General features: G+C 42.9%; 1 protein-coding gene and 1 long non-coding RNA gene across 9 annotated transcripts in view, besides 4 other annotated features; one reads left to right on the forward strand and one right to left on the reverse strand.

Annotated features, from left to right (window-relative positions):
* The window catches only part of A2ML1-AS1 (A2ML1 antisense RNA 1), a 55096-nt gene that overhangs the window by 32436 nt on the left and 4419 nt on the right, over positions 1 to 18241 (reverse strand). The window lies entirely within an intron of this gene.
* Positions 1412 to 2152: an enhancer, noted in NCBI's record as "OCT4-NANOG-H3K27ac-H3K4me1 hESC enhancer chr12:8962654-8963394 (GRCh37/hg19 assembly coordinates)". NCBI's record gives its function as "activates a minimal SCP1, AML or CMV promoter by ChIP-STARR-seq in naive H9 embryonic stem cells {active_cell/tissue: H9 hESC(naive)}" and the evidence as "EXISTENCE:reporter gene assay evidence [ECO:0000049][PMID:30033119]".
* Positions 2153 to 2894: an enhancer, noted in NCBI's record as "H3K27ac-H3K4me1 hESC enhancer chr12:8963395-8964136 (GRCh37/hg19 assembly coordinates)". NCBI's record gives its function as "activates a minimal SCP1, AML or CMV promoter by ChIP-STARR-seq in naive H9 embryonic stem cells {active_cell/tissue: H9 hESC(naive)}" and the evidence as "EXISTENCE:reporter gene assay evidence [ECO:0000049][PMID:30033119]".
* Positions 5781 to 6307: an enhancer, noted in NCBI's record as "H3K27ac hESC enhancer chr12:8967023-8967549 (GRCh37/hg19 assembly coordinates)". NCBI's record gives its function as "activates a minimal SCP1, AML or CMV promoter by ChIP-STARR-seq in primed H9 embryonic stem cells {active_cell/tissue: H9 hESC(primed)}" and the evidence as "EXISTENCE:reporter gene assay evidence [ECO:0000049][PMID:30033119]".
* Positions 10727 to 11021: a silencer, noted in NCBI's record as "tiled region #8322; K562 Repressive non-DNase unmatched - State 23:Low". NCBI's record gives its function as "represses a minimal TATA promoter and a strong SV40 promoter by Sharpr-MPRA in K562 cells {active_cell/tissue: K562}" and the evidence as "EXISTENCE:reporter gene assay evidence [ECO:0000049][PMID:27701403]".
* Positions 13975 to 18241, forward strand: part of A2ML1 (alpha-2-macroglobulin like 1) — a 64839-nt gene continuing 60572 nt past the window's right edge. For all 8 annotated transcript variants that reach the window (XR_931275.2, XR_001748594.2, XM_011520566.3 and 5 more), the window contains exons 1-3: positions 13975 to 14067; positions 14536 to 14719; positions 15074 to 15236. Coding sequence is in view for 6 of the 8 variants with exons in the window: in XM_011520566.3 (XP_011518868.1) it covers positions 14006 to 14067; positions 14536 to 14719; positions 15074 to 15236 (409 nt within the window). In the remaining 2 variants the exon portion in view is untranslated. The remainder of the gene's footprint in view (positions 14068 to 14535; positions 14720 to 15073; positions 15237 to 18241) is intronic.

Raw genomic sequence — 18241 nt, forward strand, 5'->3', positions numbered from 1 at the left:
TAATTTCCAAAATCTATTTTCTGACCCACACCTGACGCATATACTTTCTGCTCCCGGGCTCCTTCAGCTGTGCTTACTCTTTGTTAAGTCCCACAATTACCATTGTTCCTGGCCCGGACTTCAGTCCGGCCTCCCACATTATTCCTGATACCACACCTGACCCCCATGACTGCATCTCTCTGATCCACCTGACGTTCACCCCATTTCCCCACATTTCCTTCTTCCCTGTTTCTCACCCTGATCACACTTAGTTTATTGATGGCGGTTCCACCAGGCCTAATCGCCACACACCAGCAAAGGCAGGCTATGCTATAGTACAAGCCACTAGCCCGCCTCTTAGAACCTCTCATTTCCTTTCCATTGTGGAAATCTATCCTCAAAGAAATAACTTCTCAGTGTTCCATCTGCTATTCTACTACTCCTCAGGGATTATTCAGGCCCCCTCCCTTCCCTACACATCAAGCTCAAGGATTTGCCCCCACCCAGGACTGGCAAATTAGCTTTACTCAACATGCCCCGAGTAAGATAACTAAAATGCCTCTTAGTCTAGGTAGACACTTTCACTGGATAAGCAGAGTCCTTTCCTACAGGGTCTGAGAAGGCCACCACAGTCATTTCTTCCCTTCTGTCAGACATAATTCTTCAGTTTAGCCTTCCCACCTCAATACAGTCTGATAACAGACGAGCCTTTATTAGTCAAATCAGCCAAGCCTTTTTTCAGGCTCTTAGTATCCAGTGACAGACTAATGGTCTATTAAAAACACACCTCACGAAGCTCAGCCACCAACTCAAAAAGGACTGGACAATACTTTTACCACTTTCGCTTCTCAGAATTCAGGCCTGTCCTCAGAATGCTACAAGGTACAGCCCATTTAAGCTCCTGTATAGACGCTCCTTTTTATTAGGCCCCAGTCTCCTTCCAGACACCAGACCAACTTAGACTGTGCCCCCAAAAACCTGTCATCCCTACTATCTTCTGTCTAGTCATACTCTTATTCAGCGTTCTCAACTACTCATACATGCCCTGCTCTTGTTTACACTGCCAGTTTACACTGTTTCTCCAAGCCATCACAGCTGATATCTCCTGGTGCTATCCCCAAACCGCCACTCTTAACTCTTAAAGTAAATAAATAATCTTTGCTGGCAAGGCTATGCTGAACCTTCTTAGGCACTCTCTAATGAGATGTCCTAGGTCCTCCCAATTCTTAGTCCTTTAATACCTGTTTTTCTCCTTCTTTTATTCCATTTAGTTTTTCAATTCATACAAAACTGTATCCAGGCCATCACCAATAATTCTAAATGACAAATGTTTCTTCTAACAATCCCACAATATCACCCCTTACCACAAAATCTCCCTTCAGCTTAATCGCTCCCACTTTAGGTTCCCACGCCGCCCCAATCCCGCACGAAGCAGCCCTGAGAAACATCGCCCATTATCTCTCCATACCCTCATCCAAAATTTTCATCATCCCAACACTTTACCACTATTTCGTTTTATTTTTCTTATTAATATAAGACAGGAATGTCAGGCCTCTGAGCCCAAGCTAAGCCACCGTATCCCCTGTGGCCTGCACGTACACATCCAGATGACGGGTTCCTGCTTTAACTGATGACATTCCACCACAAAAGAAATGAAAATGGCCTGTTCCTGCCTTAACTGATGACATTGTCTTGTGAAATTCCTTCTCCTGGCTCATCCTGGCTCAAAGGCTCCCCTACTGAGCACCTTGTGACCCCCACTCTGCCCGCCAGAGAACAACTGCCCTTTGACTGTAATTTTCCTTTACCTACCCAAATCCTATAAAACGGCCCCACCCCTATCTCCCTTTGCTGACTCTCTTCGGACTCAGCCCACCTGCACCCAGGTGATTAAAAGCTTTATTGCTCACACAAAGCCTGTTTGGTGGTCTCTTCACACGGACGCGCATGAAAGGAATAGTATTTTCCAAGTACACATCTAAACTCCTGAAATTCTTCTGTTCGACATGTTTGCCCTTTGAAATCATGTTTTTGGAGTATTTCAAGCTAAACTTAATATCAGGTCCTGCTTCTCATAGTTCAAGTCGCTTGATCCCTATCTTTTTTTTTTTTCTTGAGACGGAGCCTTGCTCTGTTGCCCAGACTAGAGGGCAGTGGCACCATCTCGGCTCACTGCAATCTCTGCCTCCCAGGTTCAAATGATTCTCCTGCCTCAGCCTCCTGAGTAGCTGGGATTACAGGCGCCTGCACCGTGCCCAGCTAATTTTTGTATTTTTTAGTAGAGACGGGGTTTCACCATCTTGGCCAGGCTGGTCTCAAACTCCTGACCTCGTGATCAGTGGCTCACACCTGTAATCCTAGCATTTTGGAAGGCCGAGGCAGACAGATCACCTGAGGTCGGGTGTTCGAGACCAGCCTGACCAACATGGAGAAACCCTGTCTCTATTAAAAATACAAAATTAGCCAGGCATGGTGGTTGTGCGCCTGTAATCCCAGCTACTCAGGAAGCTGAGGCAGGAGAATCGCTTGAACCCAAGAGGCAGAGGTTGCAGTGAGCTGAGATTAAACCATTGTAATCCCAGGTACTTGAGAGGCTGAGGCAGGAGAATCGCTTGAACCTGGGAGGTGGAGGTTGCAGTGAGCTGAGATCTTGCCATTGCACTCCAGCCTGGGTGACAGGGCAAGACTCTGTCTCAAGAAAAAAAAAAAAGAAAGAAAAAAATAAAATAAAATATTTGTCTAGTAAATCTAACATCTTATTACCACAGGAAAAAGATAGTGATTGGTGATATTATGTAGCTTTATCTAAATATCTAGTTTTGAAAAATTTATTTCCCACTTATTCTTTTAAGGCAGTCAACAAAAATGTATTGAATGCTTACTATGTGCCAGATATTGCTGAATTTTAAGGAAACCTTTTGTTCCTTTCTCCCATCAACCCTTTCATAGATTTCTTTTTCTGGCTGGGTGCGGTGGCTCACGCCTGTAATCCCAGCACTTTGGGAGGCCCAGGAGGGCGGATCACAAGGTCAGGAGATCAAGACCATCCTGGCTAACACGGTGAAACTCCGTCTGTACTAAAAAATACAAAAAATTAGCCGGGCGCAGTGGCGGGCGCCTGTAGTCCCAGCTACTCAGGAGGCTGAGGCAGGAAAACCCGGGAGGCGGAGCTGGCAGTGAGCTGAGATCCCGCCACTGCACTCCAGCCTGGGCGACACAGCGAGACTCTGTCTCATTTAAAAAAAAAAAAGATTTCTTTTTCTGAAACAGTTTATACTTTACAGGAAGCACTTCCATCTGTTCTACTACTTCTCCTCCTCTCTCCCATCCCCCAAAATAATACCATCTAATTCAGAAAAATCAGAAAAATGGCTTAGTATAGACAAGGCAGTGTCTCAGAGAGGAAATGATACGGCTAGGACTAAGGGAGAAGGACCCTGTCCTTCAAAGAAGAAAGAGAGATTTCTGTTTCTTTGAAAGATTTAAAGTTACAAGAGTAAGAAGGATTTAAAGTTAGAAGAGTAAGAAGGATAAAGAATAAGAAACATCTGGATGAAAGAGGGTCCCTGAAACTTCTCAGTTGCTTGCTGATTTACATGCCATTAAACTTTTTCTGACAACTGTAACCCAGCTTATAGTCTTTGAAAATGAGTCATATTTATCATCAGTAGCACATATTAGGGACTCAGTCATATGTTATTAAGTAGCATTTCTTTAGTATTTTGTTACTGGACTTTTCATATGTGAATATCTTACGTTCTGAAATGTTTCCCTTGAAGTCAAAGAAAACACCTTCACATATGGTTCCTATAGTGTCTAACATGCTGAAGGTTTGCACAGTCAGGTTTCTTCCAATAAAAAACAAGCAAACTGTATACACATATACAAACTATATACATATATGTGTATAATATTATATGTATATAGTATTATATATGTAGTATATATTATGTATTATATAATACATTACATAATACATATATAATGTATTATATAATACACATATATAATACATTATATATGTATTATGTAATACATTATATATGTATTATATAATACACTATATATTATATAATACATTGTATAATACATTATATATTGTATTATATAATACATTATATATGTGTTATATATACATATATAATACACATATATTATATATATGTGTCATATAATATTATATATATTATATATGATGTGTATTATACATATATAATACACATATATGTATTATACATATATAATACATATATGTGTATTATATAATACATTATATAATACACATATTTTGTATTATATAAATTATATAATACATATATTATGTATTATATATATGTATATATATACAAGCTGTCAGGCCTCTGAGCCCAAGCTAAGCCATCATATCTCCTGTGGCCTGCACGTACACATCCAGATGGCCGGTTCCTGCCTTAACTGATGACATTGTCTTGTGAAATTCCTTCTCCTGGCTCATCCTGGCTCAAAAGCTCCCCTACTGAGCACCTTGTGACCCCCACTCTGCCCGCCAGAGAACAACCCCTCTTTGACTGTAATTTTCCTTTACCTACCCGAATCCTATAAAACGACCCCACCCCATCTCCCTTCACTGACTCTCTTTTCGGACTCAGCCCACCTGCACCCAGGTGATTAAAAGCTTTATTGCTTACACAAATCCCGTTTGGTGGTCTCTTCACACGGACGCACATGAAACAAACTATATATGTGTATGTATATAGTTTGTATATATGTATATACTTTGCTTGTTTATTTTTTTTTGAGATGGAGTTTTGCTCTTGTTGCCCAGGCTGGAGTAGTGGCACGATCTCGGCTCACTGCAACCTCTGCCTCCCAGGTTCAAGCGATTCTCCTGCCTCAGCCTCCCTAGTAGCTGGGATTACAGGCATGTGCTACCACACCCGGCTAATTTTGTATTTTTTTAGTAGAGACGGGGTTTCTCCATGTTGGTCAGGCTGGTCTCAAACTCCCAACCTCAGGTGATCCGCCCACCTCGGCCTCCCAAAAGTGCTGGGATTACAGGTGTGAGCTACTGCACCCGGCTTGTTTATATATATTATTTTTTAAATCTCTCAGGGTGTGGGGCAGGGCCTGCCCCACACCCTGAGAGATTTATAATTGGCTCACATGATTGTGGAGGCTGGCAAGTCCAATATCTCCAGGGCAGGCTGGACCCTATTTCCAAATTAAGTCACACTCGGAGATCCTAGGAGTTAGGACTTCAACATATAAATTTTGAGGGGGATACAATTTATCCCATAGCAGTGTTCAATAAATATTTGTTGGAAAAAAAAGGTTTTTCCCCCTAGGTATAATCTGAGCATGTGATCTCCATGTTTCTTTTTTCCCTCTTTGAACTTTCAGTTTTCTGTCATTTCTGACTTTAGGAAGCCAAATGTTGGTTTATGTGCTGTCTAAGCATGGGTGGGGTTGGGTAGCACCCTTATTTTCCCTGATGCATTCATATGCAAACTTTGGTACATTGCATATTCACTTGAATACATTTGAAAAAGGAACAGAGTGAAGCCTATAATTAGTAAGAAGGAGGGAGGAGACAGTGGCAAGCAAGGAGTGGCCCCAGCTTCTGCTTGTTCTTTCTTTTCTTTTCCTTAGTGTTGTGTCTTGGTTTGATTAGCCCCATGCTCTCTGGAGGTAGAACCTCAAATCAACAGTCCTGGGTGGAACAGAAACAGGCTCTTCTCCTCTGGCCTCCCTTGCAGTGAGGAGAGCAGAAAACTGACTTGCTGAGAATAGCATCCCTTAGCAGACAGGACTAAGCTGTCTCCTGGGAGGTTACCAAGTAAAGTGGGCTAATAGTTTTTGGAAAGCCCTTCGTGGAAAAGCAAAATAGTCAAAGAAGATGTTCACAGATGTAAGACCAAAGACTACCTGTGAAAAATAGAAATAATATGGAAATGCGAAAATAATACCCTTGAGCAGAATGGTGTGAAACAAAGTATAAAATACACAGAAATGAGTGAGGAAGGCTGGGATAATATAAAGACAGAAGACTTCCAAATACACCAGAATGAAAACATTTTCTTTAGCTGTACTGATTGGCAGTTATCATCACTAATTTTTTGGCACGAATAAATTGGAAATTTATGTCAGCACCCTTGGATAATAATTAAAAAATATATATTATAGGCCGGGCGTGGTGTCTCACACCTGTAATCCCAGCACTTTGGGAGGCCGAGGTGGATAGATTACCTGATGTCAGGAATTCGAGACCAGCCTGACCAACATGGTGAAACCCTGTCTCTACTAAAAATACAAAAAAAATTAGCCGGGGGTGGTGGGGGGGCGCCTGTAATCCCAGCTACTTGGGAGGCTGAGGCAGGATAATCACTTGAACCCAGGAGGCGGAGGTTGTCGTGAGCTGAGATCGTGCCATTGAACTCCAGCCTGAGCAACAAGAGTGAAACTCTGTCTCAAAAAACAAACAAAAACTATATATATATATATATATATATATATATATATATATATATATATGTTATGCCTAATATGTAGCATAACATGATAATATATAATTGATGTAATTCTTACTCCAGAAATACTTCTATTATTTACAATAAAGGTCCAAGTGTAAGAAGCCTTCGAAGTAACATATTATGGTGTCTATCTAAGCTAAAAGTCTCAAGTCAGGATTCTGATACCCAGAGCAAATCCAAGCACGCTAACCCCTTTACAGAATAGCCTTCCACACGGCTCCGTTTCGCCCATATGCACCACATGAGATGTCAACAGTAGGGTTTTATGCAGCCTAACTTTGGGAGATTATTAAACCCTGGACATTTCCTCCCACCAAATTCCAGACAGGTTATCAGACTGATAGCTGCATTTAAATAGATTTTAAAATGGATCAGAAGAGATAAAAATCACTGGTGGGCCGATTTGACTGATGGAAGTGGTAAAGGGAGTCAGCAGCTCTAGCTGGAGGGGCACTCACCATCTACGGAGGAGTGGGTGTTCACAGACCTGGGCGATTGCTCTTAGCAGGAAGAGTGATGGGAACCAAGGAAAACAAGACCGCAGTGGCTCATGCCGGTCATCCCAACACTTTGGGAGGCCATGGTGAAACCCTGTCTCTACTAAAAATACAAAAATTACCCCAGCATGGTGGCGCGCACCTGTAATCCCTGCTACTCAGGAGGCTGAGGCAGGAGAATCTCTTGAACCTGGGAGGTGGAAGTTGCAGTGAGCTGAGATCACGCCACCGTACTCCAGGGTGGGTGACAGAGCGAGATCCTGTCTCAAAAAAAAAAAGTTTATGGAGTTTATGTAGAGTGGTAGAGTGACCCAAAACTCAATTGAATATACTGGTTTTCCCTGTGTCCAAATCAAACAGAGCCTCCAGAGACCATCACAATTTTACAACCTAACCAAGAGACGGTGCGTGCATGTATGTATGTGCCTAGTGTGTGTGAATTAGGGGAAACATGGAGAAATTGTTTATAATTCTTGAATCTATTCTTTGATGTGTTTCATTATTTTTGGAAAATTCTCATTTCTTGTCTCTTCAAACATGTCTTCTGCTTGTTCTTTCTCGTTTCTCCTTCTAAGATTCTGATAATATGTATGCTAAGCCATTTGATATTGTTTTATAGCACTTGAAGATAATTCAAGTGCTATAAAAATTCAAATTATTTGAAAAGAATTCAAATGATTTTCACTCTTTTTTCTTGTTGTGTTTGTTTGGGTAATTTCTATTGACCTAACTTCAAGGCAATCGATTATTTCCTCAGCTATATTCGTATTGTCAAGGTTATTAATGAGCCTGAAGAAGGAGCTGCTCATCTCTGATACAGCATTTTCTTTTTTTTTTTTTTTTTTTTTTGAGACAGGATTTTGTTCTGTTGCCCAGGCTGGAGTGTAGTGGTGCGATCTCAGCTTGCTTGCGACCTTGGCCTCCTGGGCTCAAGTAATTCTCCCACCTCAGCCTCCCAAGTAGCTGGGACTACAGATATAAGTCACCACACCTAGCTAATGTCTTTATCTTACATAGACACAAAGTCTCCTCACTATGTTACCTAGGCTGGTCTCACACTCCTGGGCTCAAGTGATCTTTTTGCCTTGGCCTCCCAAAGTGCTGGGATTAATAGGCTTCAGCTACTGTTCCTGGCCTGATATTGCATATCTTATTTTTGAAACTTCTATAAAGTCTGTCATGTTTAGTATTTCAGGAAGTCGATCACTTCCACCTTTCTTTTGAAATCCACCCCTGACACCATCTCCTCATGTCTGTTGTCCTTTTTTTTTTTTCATGAGCTCCTTTGACATATGACTCCTGGGCATTTTAAAGTCTCTCTCTTTTATTATAACATGGAGGGCAGCTCTGAGCCTGGTTCCATTGATTACTTTGTATCTTCACAGGATGTTGTTGTCATCTTCTTCTTCTTTTGATACAACTTGTAATTTTTCATTGATTGCCAAACATCTTGTGTAGAACAGGAGAGATTTAAATAAATAGTATTTGTGACTAGAAATGGACACACCTCTTCTCAGGCAGTTAGCTTGGTGGATTGAGTTAATCTAGTTAAAAGGTGAACTGTGCAGGTTTTGTAATTGCCAAGTTTACTTTCGGTACATCATAGGCTTCAAATTCCTTTTGTGATGCCTTATGCTTAGGGTGGCATCTGGAGTGCTGGCTATTTCTCAGTGTTTGTGCCCCACCCTCAGCTCTCGTTCTCCTCTGTACACCACACAGCAGACCCCACAGAGGTCGTCTCTCTGCACGTTCATGCCCTCTGCCAGTGGCGGACTGCTTAGTTACTTGGTGCTCTTGCTCGGGTAATGGTGAGGGGACAGGGTGCTTCTCTGTTGCCCTCTTCATCTTCTATCTTAGGTAGGTTTATATGCCTGGGCCCTGGGGGATGAGTATTTCTGCCCCACTCCTTATGCCAGGCTGCCAAACCCTGCTTTGAATTTGTGGCTGGTCTTGGGTGGGAAAGATTTTTTTGTGCTCCTCCTTCAGTTTCAGGAGACCTCTAAAAGTATTAGCTTAGAACTCTGGGCTCACAATTGCTCCTTGTCCCTCCCTCGGACTAGGGTCCTCCCTGCTCTTCCCTTGGTAACACCTGTGCCCTGGGAGCAACAGTATTTGCCAGTCCTCCCCAGGGTCTTAAGGCTTTCGAGAGAGGAGCATGGGCAGCTGGGGCCTTTTCTGCAATGATAGCAAATACGGTCCTTGATGCCCATAGTACTGAGGGGGCTCTTTGTAGTCTCCCACTTGGCCCCCAGTATTTCCTGTGAACACCTGGTAGAGGTCATGGAAAGGAGCCTGTGGGTAAGTAAAGCCCTCCTTGCTTCTGTGACACCCAGAGGCTCCTTATAGTCACTCTAGTCTGCACTAGGCCTCTAGCAATTTATGAAAAATGTAGCTGCTTTCTTCTTGCATGCTTGTATGATGGCCTAAATACCTCCCATACTCTGGCACTGATGAGACACTCCACCCATCTGGTCTCTGCTCATGAGGATTGCATGTCCTTGAATTTCAGGCTACTTAGCTTACCTGCAACCTCAGCTCAGCTGTTTTGTTTTCTTTTGTTTTGTTTTGTGATGGAGTCTTGCTCTGTCACTCAGGCTGGAGTGCAATGGCGTGATCTCAGCTCACTGCAACCTCCACCTCCTGGGTTCAAGCAATTCTCCTGCCTCAGCCTCCCGAGTAGCTGGGATTACAGGCATGCACCACCATGCCTGGCTAATTTTTTTGTATTTTTAGTAAAGACAGGGTTTCACCATATTGGCCAGGCGGGTCTCGAACTCCTGACCTTGTGATCTGCTTGCCTCAGCCTCCCAAAGTGCTGGGATTACAGACGTGAGCCACCGCCCCCGGCCCAGCTCAGCATTTAGGTTCAACTTTTGGTTTAAGAAAAGTGATTTTGCAGTTTGTCTGGCTTTTTCATATTGTCAGAGAGGGGGCAATGCACTTTCCAGCTTATTTTTATTTTTTATTCTTAGAGACAGGGTCTTGCTCTGTTGCCCAGGCTGGAGTGCAGTGGCACAATCATGGCTCACTGCAGACTTGAAGTCCTGGGCTCTAGTGATCTTCCTGCCTCAGCCTCCCAAGTAGCTGGGCATGTGACACCACACCTAGCTAACTTTTAATTTTTTTTTTTGGTAGAGATGGGGTCTTACTATACTGCCCAGGTTGATCTCGAACTCCTGGCCTCAAACAACCCTCCCACCTTGCCTTCCCAAAGTGTTGAGATCACAGGCTCGAGCCACCAAGCCACACTCTTTCTAGCCTTTCAAATTCCAAGTTAAAGTGGAACTTGCCACATGTCGTTTTGTATCACTTTCCCCAACCCCTTTCTTTTCTTTTTTTTTTTTTTTTTGAGACGGAATTTCACTCTTGTTGCCCAGGCTGGAGTGCAATGTTATGCTCTCAGCTCACTGCAGCCTCCACCTCCCCAGTTCAAGTGATTTTCCTGCCTCAGCCTCCCGAGTAGCTGAGATTATAGGCGCCCACCACCATGCCTGGCTAATTTTTGTATTTTTGGGAGAGACAGGGTTTCGCCATGTTGACTAGGCTGGTCTCGAGCTCCTACGGATCGGCCTCCCAAAGTGCTGGGATTACAGGTGTGAGCCGCTGCACCAGCCCCAACCCCTTTCAATTAGCATTGCAAATAATTCCCCTTATCATGAAAACATTATTTTTAATGGCAGCAGAGTATTGCTTTATATTAACATGACAGTTTATTCAACCGAACTCTTTATGGGGCATTGTAATAGACTTAATGTTTTATGTTTGCAGCTCTTTACACCAACACTTTTCCTACTGTAGTGATTTCTTTGAACAATTTCCCCTCCCCAACTCCCTGTGGTTCTAAAGGGGTGGCCAATCACAGTACCCCATCACCCTGGCCTTTAGGTGGGAGAATGACCCAGGCCCTGCCTATCATACCCTCCTGACTACAGTGACTGATTCAGAGGTGAGCCAGCGAGAGAGGGAGGAACACAGTCCTTCTTCGGGAATTTCTATAACATAGGTGAAAAATTTTGTCAGTTGGGGTCGTGGAGCTGAACGAATATGGCTTGAGGGCTCCCAGCTGCCGTCCTCCCTACGACTTGAAGAAAAGCTTGTGTGCAGTAGGAGAAAATGAACCAATCAGAGACAAGTACACAAGAGAGAAGGACTGGGAGGAGTCGGCCCTGGCTGCACCACGTCTCCACTCCTGGGCTGTCAAGTTTTTCAAGGTGCTCTGGTTCCATAAGCTCATTCTTCCTGTTGGATCCATTCCAGTTACCAAAAACACTTTTTTGTTTAGGCTGGTTTGATATAGGATGATCATTGGTCCCAGAGAGCATCCTGGCTAATCTATTTTATTATTTTATTTTATGAGACAAGTTCTCACTGTTGCCCAGGCTGGAGTGCAGTGGTGCTATCATGGCTCATTGCAGCCTTGAACCCCTGGGCTCAAGCAAATCCTACCATCTCAGCCTCCAGAGTAGCTGGGACTACAGGCGTGCACCACCACACTCAGCTAATTTTAAAGAAATGTTTTATACAGACTGAAACTGCCTTTGCAAAATTGTAACAGGAAATTATGACAGTGCAAGAAGTCAGACCTAACCGACTCTATCTTGCTTCTAACCCTTAAGCTGTCCTTGTTTATTCCTGGGCATAGGCCGAAGTAACTTTGGGAAGGAATTCAGTTCATGGTTTGACTCTGAAACAAAATTGATAACAGCCCTTTCCCAAAAAGACCCCCTTCTTGCCCGGGGTCCAGTCTGCCTTTGTAGGACTAACAGATTAGCTACAAGATTAGAAATTACAGTTTAGAGGCCGGGTGCAGTGGCTCGCGCCTGTAATCCCAGCACTTTGGGAGGCCAAGGCGGGCGGATCACGAGGTCAGGAGATCGAGACCATCCTGGCTGACACGGTGAAACCCCGTCTCTACTAAAAATACAAAAAATTAGCCGGGCGTGGTGGCGGGCGCCTGTAGTCCCAGCTACTCGGGAGGCTGAGGCAGGAGAATGGCGTGAACCCGGGAGGCGGAGCTTGCAGTGAGCCGAGATCGCGCCATTGCACTTCAGCCTGGGCGGTAGAGCCAGACTCTGTCTCAAAAAAAAAAAAAAAGAAATTACAGTTTAGAGGTCATGCAGCCTCTGGCTCCAAGAGTCTGAACCTCCCCAAATTGCTCCTGGGGATAACATCACTGCTGTAAAACCTAAGATCAGTAATTGAGTTATTTTGCAGGCCCTGCACTCCATGGGATCAGCTGACACCACACAGACCAGTCATCTGGCCCAACCAGTTCTGCCATCTCACCCAGGAACAGAAGACATTAAGAAAATCTAACTTCGACCCTCTATGATTCCATCTCCAACCTGAGCAATCAGCACTCCCCACTTCCCAAGCCCCTACCTGCCAAATTATCTTTAAAAACTCTGATCCACGAAGGCTCAAGGATTTAAGTAATAATAAAACTCCAGTCTCCCACACAGCCGGCTCTGCGTGAATTACTCTTTTGCCATTGCAGTTCCCCTGTCTTGATAAATCGGCTCTGTCTAGGCAGCAAGCAAGGTGAATCCATTGGGTGGTTACAAAACGGGGTCTCACTATGTTGCCCAGGCTGGTCTCAAACTCTTGGGCTCAAGCAATCCTCCAGCTTCTGACTCCCAAAAGCTGGGATTATAGGCATGAGCCACTGCACTTAGACTAATTTATATTTTAGGTGACTTCTAAGTATTACCATCATAAAGAACACTGTGGGCTGGGCACGGTGGCTCATACCTGTAATCCCAGCACTTTGGGAGGCTGAGGTGGTCCCTGGAGCTCAGGAGTTCGAGACTAGCCTGGGCAACATGGTGAAACCCTGTCTCTATTAAAAATACAAAACAATTAGCCAGGAGTGTTGGTGCCTACCTGTGGTCCCAGCTACTCAGGAGGTGGAGGTGGGAGGATCGCTTGAGCCCAGGAGGTCAAAGCTGCAGTGGGCTGAGATTGTGCCACTGCACTCCAGCCTGGGTGATAAAGTGAGACTCTACTTCAAAAAAATAAAAAATAAAGAAAAGAAAAAAAAGAAAGAACAGTGTGAAAAAACTCAGTGTTACACTTGTGCATACATGCATGCTGTCCTTTTTTTCCTCATTAAGAAACATTTCCAGAGTAGGAGTTGCTGAGTGAAAGAATATGCAAATCTCAAAGGCTTTGGTGTGTATTACAAAATTGCCATGAGAAAGTTATCCACATTCTATTTTCTCTAGGACTGTGTGTGTCCCTATTTCCATACAGTCACAACAATACTGAGTAGTATTAATTTTTTTTTTTTTTGAGACAGAGTCTCGTTGTGTCACCCACGCTGGAGTAAAGTGGCATGATCTCGGCTCACTGCAACCTCCACCTCCCGGGTTCAAGCGATTCTCCTGCCTCAGCCTCCCAAGTAGCTGGGACTATAGGCACCCACCACTATGCCCAGCTGATTTTTTTTTCTTTGTATTTTTAGTAGAGACAGGGTTTCACTATGTTGGCCAGGCTGGTCTTGAACTCCTGACCTGGTGATCTGCCCACCTCAACCCCCCAAAGTGCTGGGATTACAGGCGTGAGCCACTGTGACCGGCCAAGTTTACTGCTTTTCTATTGAAACTGTTCTCATACCCGTGTTCCCAACTACACCTTAATTGAATAATAAAAGAAAATAAGGACATTAAATGAGAACAGGAATTGGAATGAGACCAGAAAAAAAGGGAGGAGTTCAAAATATGTTCTGAGAGCTTTACCATTATGAATACTCAGCTCTGGTTTTCCCCCAAAACTGGCTGAACCAGTATGGATGTTCCAGGCAGAAACAACTTTAAAGAAGTGAATAGTGGCCCTACCCTGGTCCACCACCTAACCTGGTGGTTACAGAAGGAGGAACACAGTCCTCCTGTGTTCCAGGTGCCAGGAGGTGACTGACTATAGCATCAGTCATCACTGCACACCCTACCTGGAATTAGTATATAAAGCTACGCGGAGCGATCTCTGCCCCTGACCCTGGAAAAATCTGTCTCACCCACAAAGATGTGGGCTCAGCTCCTTCTAGGAATGTTGGCCCTATCACCAGCCATTGCAGAAGAACTTCCGTGAGTGCTTGGTGTCAGAATTGGTTTATTAGGGCAGCGGCTTCTTCGCCTAACTTTCTCAAACATTTATATGGAGATGGGGAGATCAACTTTGGTTTATCTTAATTTCCTCCTCCTTTTTTCTCTTCTTTGGTTCCACTGATCCTTTACCCAGAGAGGGAGGCTGACGCATGAAGAGGAAGCTTTAAAAAAGATAAATATTAAAATGTGCCCTGTTTTCTGAAATAGGCCTAATTTCCTCCTTGGTGCTCTAGGCATGTGTGCTCGGTGAGGGCCTCCTGATGGCGGAAGTTGAAGACTGTGCACTGAGTCGTTGCCCCTCTGCTTCTTGTAGAAAATGAGGTGCATAAGGAAGGCAGGGGCTTGGTCTGTCTAATTCACTGCTACTTGCTGAGCGCTTAGGAGAGTGCTGGATTTTTCGAGTGAATGAATCATTATTGCCCTGAAATCCTTCTGCTCCTTTAATAGAAACTACCTGGTGACATTACCAGCCCGGCTAAATTTCCCCTCCGTTCAGAAGGTTTGTTTGGACCTGAGCCCTGGGTACAGTGATGTTAAATTCACGGTTACTCTGGAGACCAAGGACAAGACCCAGAAGTTGCTAGAATACTCTGGACTGAAGAAGAGGCACTTACATTGTATCTCCTTTCTTGTAAGCACAGACTCAGCCCTCACTCGAATCCCTTACTTGCCTATTCTCCTCCCTAGGCTCACTATAATCTACTTTAAGTATAATTTCTGTTATCTTTTGCCACGGCCTCTAAACCTATTTTTTCTCAACTTAACCTCAATCCCCGGCTATAACTCACCCACGGTTTCCTCGACCTAGGATTTCTCCCTTTAGTTCCTGACCTTAATTCTTCCTCGTGGTAATTTGTTTTATGTCTCTATCCTTGCTACCCCCATCTAACTCAGCTCTTTCCTTTAACTCACTGTTGGGTTGAGACCAGTTGATTCTGTTCCCCCAATCCCTTACCCCTCCCCAGAAGTCCCCTTTCTTGGTCAGGTACCACCTCCTGCTGGTGGCACAGAAGAAGTGGCCACAATCCGGGTGTCGGGAGTTGGAAATAACATCAGCTTTGAGGAGAAGAAAAAGGTTCTAATTCAGAGGCAGGGGAACGGCACCTTTGTACAGACTGACAAACCTCTCTACACCCCAGGGCAGCAAGGTAAGAGTCACATATTTGGGGTTCGACTAAAACCTGGGGAAACCGCTGTGCACAGGGGTAAAGAGGGGATTTGTGGTTTGACAGTAGGCTTTGGAAAAAAAGGAGTGCAGAGGAGAGGAAAATCTGGGGGGATTAAGTAGTGCAAGTGTTGAATACATGCTGCGCTACACAAGCAAGAGAAGTAGGTGGGGGTTGCTACTGAGTTTGTGTATCTAAAACAAAAGTACACATTTCTTCTGGAATAGAATTTGGCAAGTATAACTGGGTTGCTGGGCCTTACAACAAACTGCTTGTAAATGGCTAAGAAAGCACTGAGGGCATTTGGCTTGAGCTACTGGGGTTTTTTTTTTTTTTTTTTTTTTTTTTTGTATTTGTTCATTCGTCCTTACAGGGGCACTTCATTCTGAGATTTCAAAGTCAGGCACCCTGAAAAGAAACTATGTTTGGGTTTTTTTTATTTTTTTATTTAAAATTTTTGTGGGTACATAGCTGGTGTATATATATTTATGGGGTAGATGAGATATTTTTATACACACACACAATGTGTAATCATTACATCAGGGTACATGTGTATCCATCACCTCAAGCATTTATCATTTCCTTGTATTACAAACAATCCAATTATACTCTCTTAGTAATTTTTAAATGTGCAATAAATTATTGTTGACTGTAGTCACTCTTTGTGCTAAAAACTACAAGATCCCTAGATCTTATTCATTCTAGCTAAATATATTTTTGTACCCATTAACCATTCCCACCCCACCCCTCATCCTGCCCACCATTACCCTTCCCAGCATCTGGTAACCATCATTCTGTTCTCTCTCTCTCTTTCAAAAAAATTTTTTTCCTTTTACCTTATTTTTTTCCACACACTTAAAAATTATTATTCTATTCTCTATCTCCACGACTTCAATTGTTTTAATTTTTAGCTCCCACAAATAAATGAGAACATGGAAAGTTTGTCTTTCTGTGTCTGGTTTATTTTACTTAACATAATGACCTCCTGTTCCATTCAGGCTGTTGCAAAGGATGGGGTCTCATTCTTTTTTATGGCTGAATAGTACTCCATTATGTATGTGTACCACATTTTTTAATCCATTTTTTATCATCTGTTCATAGACACTTAGGTTGCTTCCATATCTTGGCTATTGTGAATACTGATGCCATAAACATGGCAGCACAGATAGTCTTTGATATACTGATTTCCTTTCTTTTGTATATATACTTAGCAGTGGGCTTGCAGGATTATATGGAAGCTCTATTTTTAGTTTTTTTCAGAAACCTCCAAACTGTTCTCCATAGTGGTTGTACTAATTTACATTCCCACCAACAGTGTATGAGGGTTCTCTTTTCTCCACATCCTCACCAGCATTTATTATTGTTTGTCTTTTGGAAAAAAGCCATTTTAACTGGGGTGAGATAATATCTCATTGTAGTTTTGATTTACATTTCTCTGACAGTCAATGATTTGAGCACCTTTTTTATATACCTGTTTGCCATTTGTATGTCTTCTTTTGAGAAATGTCTATTCAGATCTTTTTGCCCGTTCTTTAATCTGATTACTAGATGTTTTCCTATACAGCTGTCTGAGCTCCTTATATATTCTGGTTATTAATCCCTTGTCAGATGGGTAGTTTGCAAATATTTTCTTTCATTCTGTGGGTTGTCTCTTTGTTGATTGTTTCCTTTGCTGTGCAGAAGCTTTTTAACTTGATGTGATCCTGTTTGTCCATTTTTGCTTTGGTTTCTTGTGCTCCTTGGGTATTACTCAAGAAATCTTTGCCCAGACCAATGTTCTGGAGAGTTTCCCCAAAGTTTTCTTATATATAATAGTTTCATAGATTGAGGTATTAGATTTAAATCTTTCATCCATTTTGACTTGATTTTTCTATATGGAGAGAGATGAGGGTCTAGTTTCATTCTTCTGCATATGGATATCCAATTTTCCCAGAACCATTTATTGAAGAGCCTGTGCTTTCTCCAGTGTATACACTTGTCACCTTTGTCAAAAATGAGTTCACCCTAGACATGTTTCTGGGTTCTCTATTCTGTTCCATTGGTCTATGTATTTGTTTTTATGACAGTACCATGCTGTTTTGGTTACTATAGCTTTGCAGTATAATTTGAAGTCATGTAATGTGATTCTTCCAGCTTTGTTCTTTTTGTTCAGAATAGATTTGGTTATTTTAGGTCTTTTATGGTTCCATAAAAATTTTATGATTTTTTTTACAAAAGTCCTAAGATTTAGGATGTAGAATTTCTGTGAAGAATGTCATTAGTATTCTGATAGGGATTGCAATGAACCTGTAGATTGCCTTAGGTAGTACGGAATTTTAACAATATCAATTCTTCCAATCCAGAAACATGAAATCTCTTTTCATGTTTTTGTGTGTCCTCTTCAATTTCTTTCATCAGTATTTTATAGTTTTTATTGTTGAGATCTTTCACTTCTTTGGTAAAGTTTATTCCTAGGTATTTTATATTATTTATAGCTATTGTAAATGGAATTATCTTTCTTAATTTCTTTTTCAGATTGTTCCCTGTTGGCATATAGAAATGTTACTGAATTTTTTTTGTTTTTGAGACAGAGTCTCCCTCTGTTGCCCAGGCTGTGGAGTGCAGTGGCGGGATCACTGCTTACTGCAACCTCTGCCTCCTGGGTTCAAGTGATTCTTGTGCTTCAGCATCCCAAGTAGCTGGGAGTACAGGCATGCGCCACCATGCCCAGCTAATTTTTGTTTTTGTTTTTTTGTTTTTTGAGATGGAGTCTCATTCTGCCGCGCAGGCTGGAATGCAATAAATGGTTGCTCATTGCAGCCTCTGCCTCCTGGGTTCAAGTGATTCTCCTGCCTCAGCCTCCCGAGTAGCTGGGTTTACAGGTGAGCGCCACCACCCCTGGCTAATTTTTGTATTTTTGGTAGAGATGGAGTTTCGCCATGTTGGCCAGGCTGGTCTCCAACTCCTGACCTCAAGTTATCCTCCCCACTCAGCCTCCCAAAGTGCTG

Source organism: Homo sapiens, chromosome 12 (genome assembly GCF_000001405.40).
Source record: "Homo sapiens chromosome 12, GRCh38.p14 Primary Assembly".
Lineage (NCBI taxonomy): Eukaryota > Metazoa > Chordata > Mammalia > Primates > Hominidae > Homo > Homo sapiens.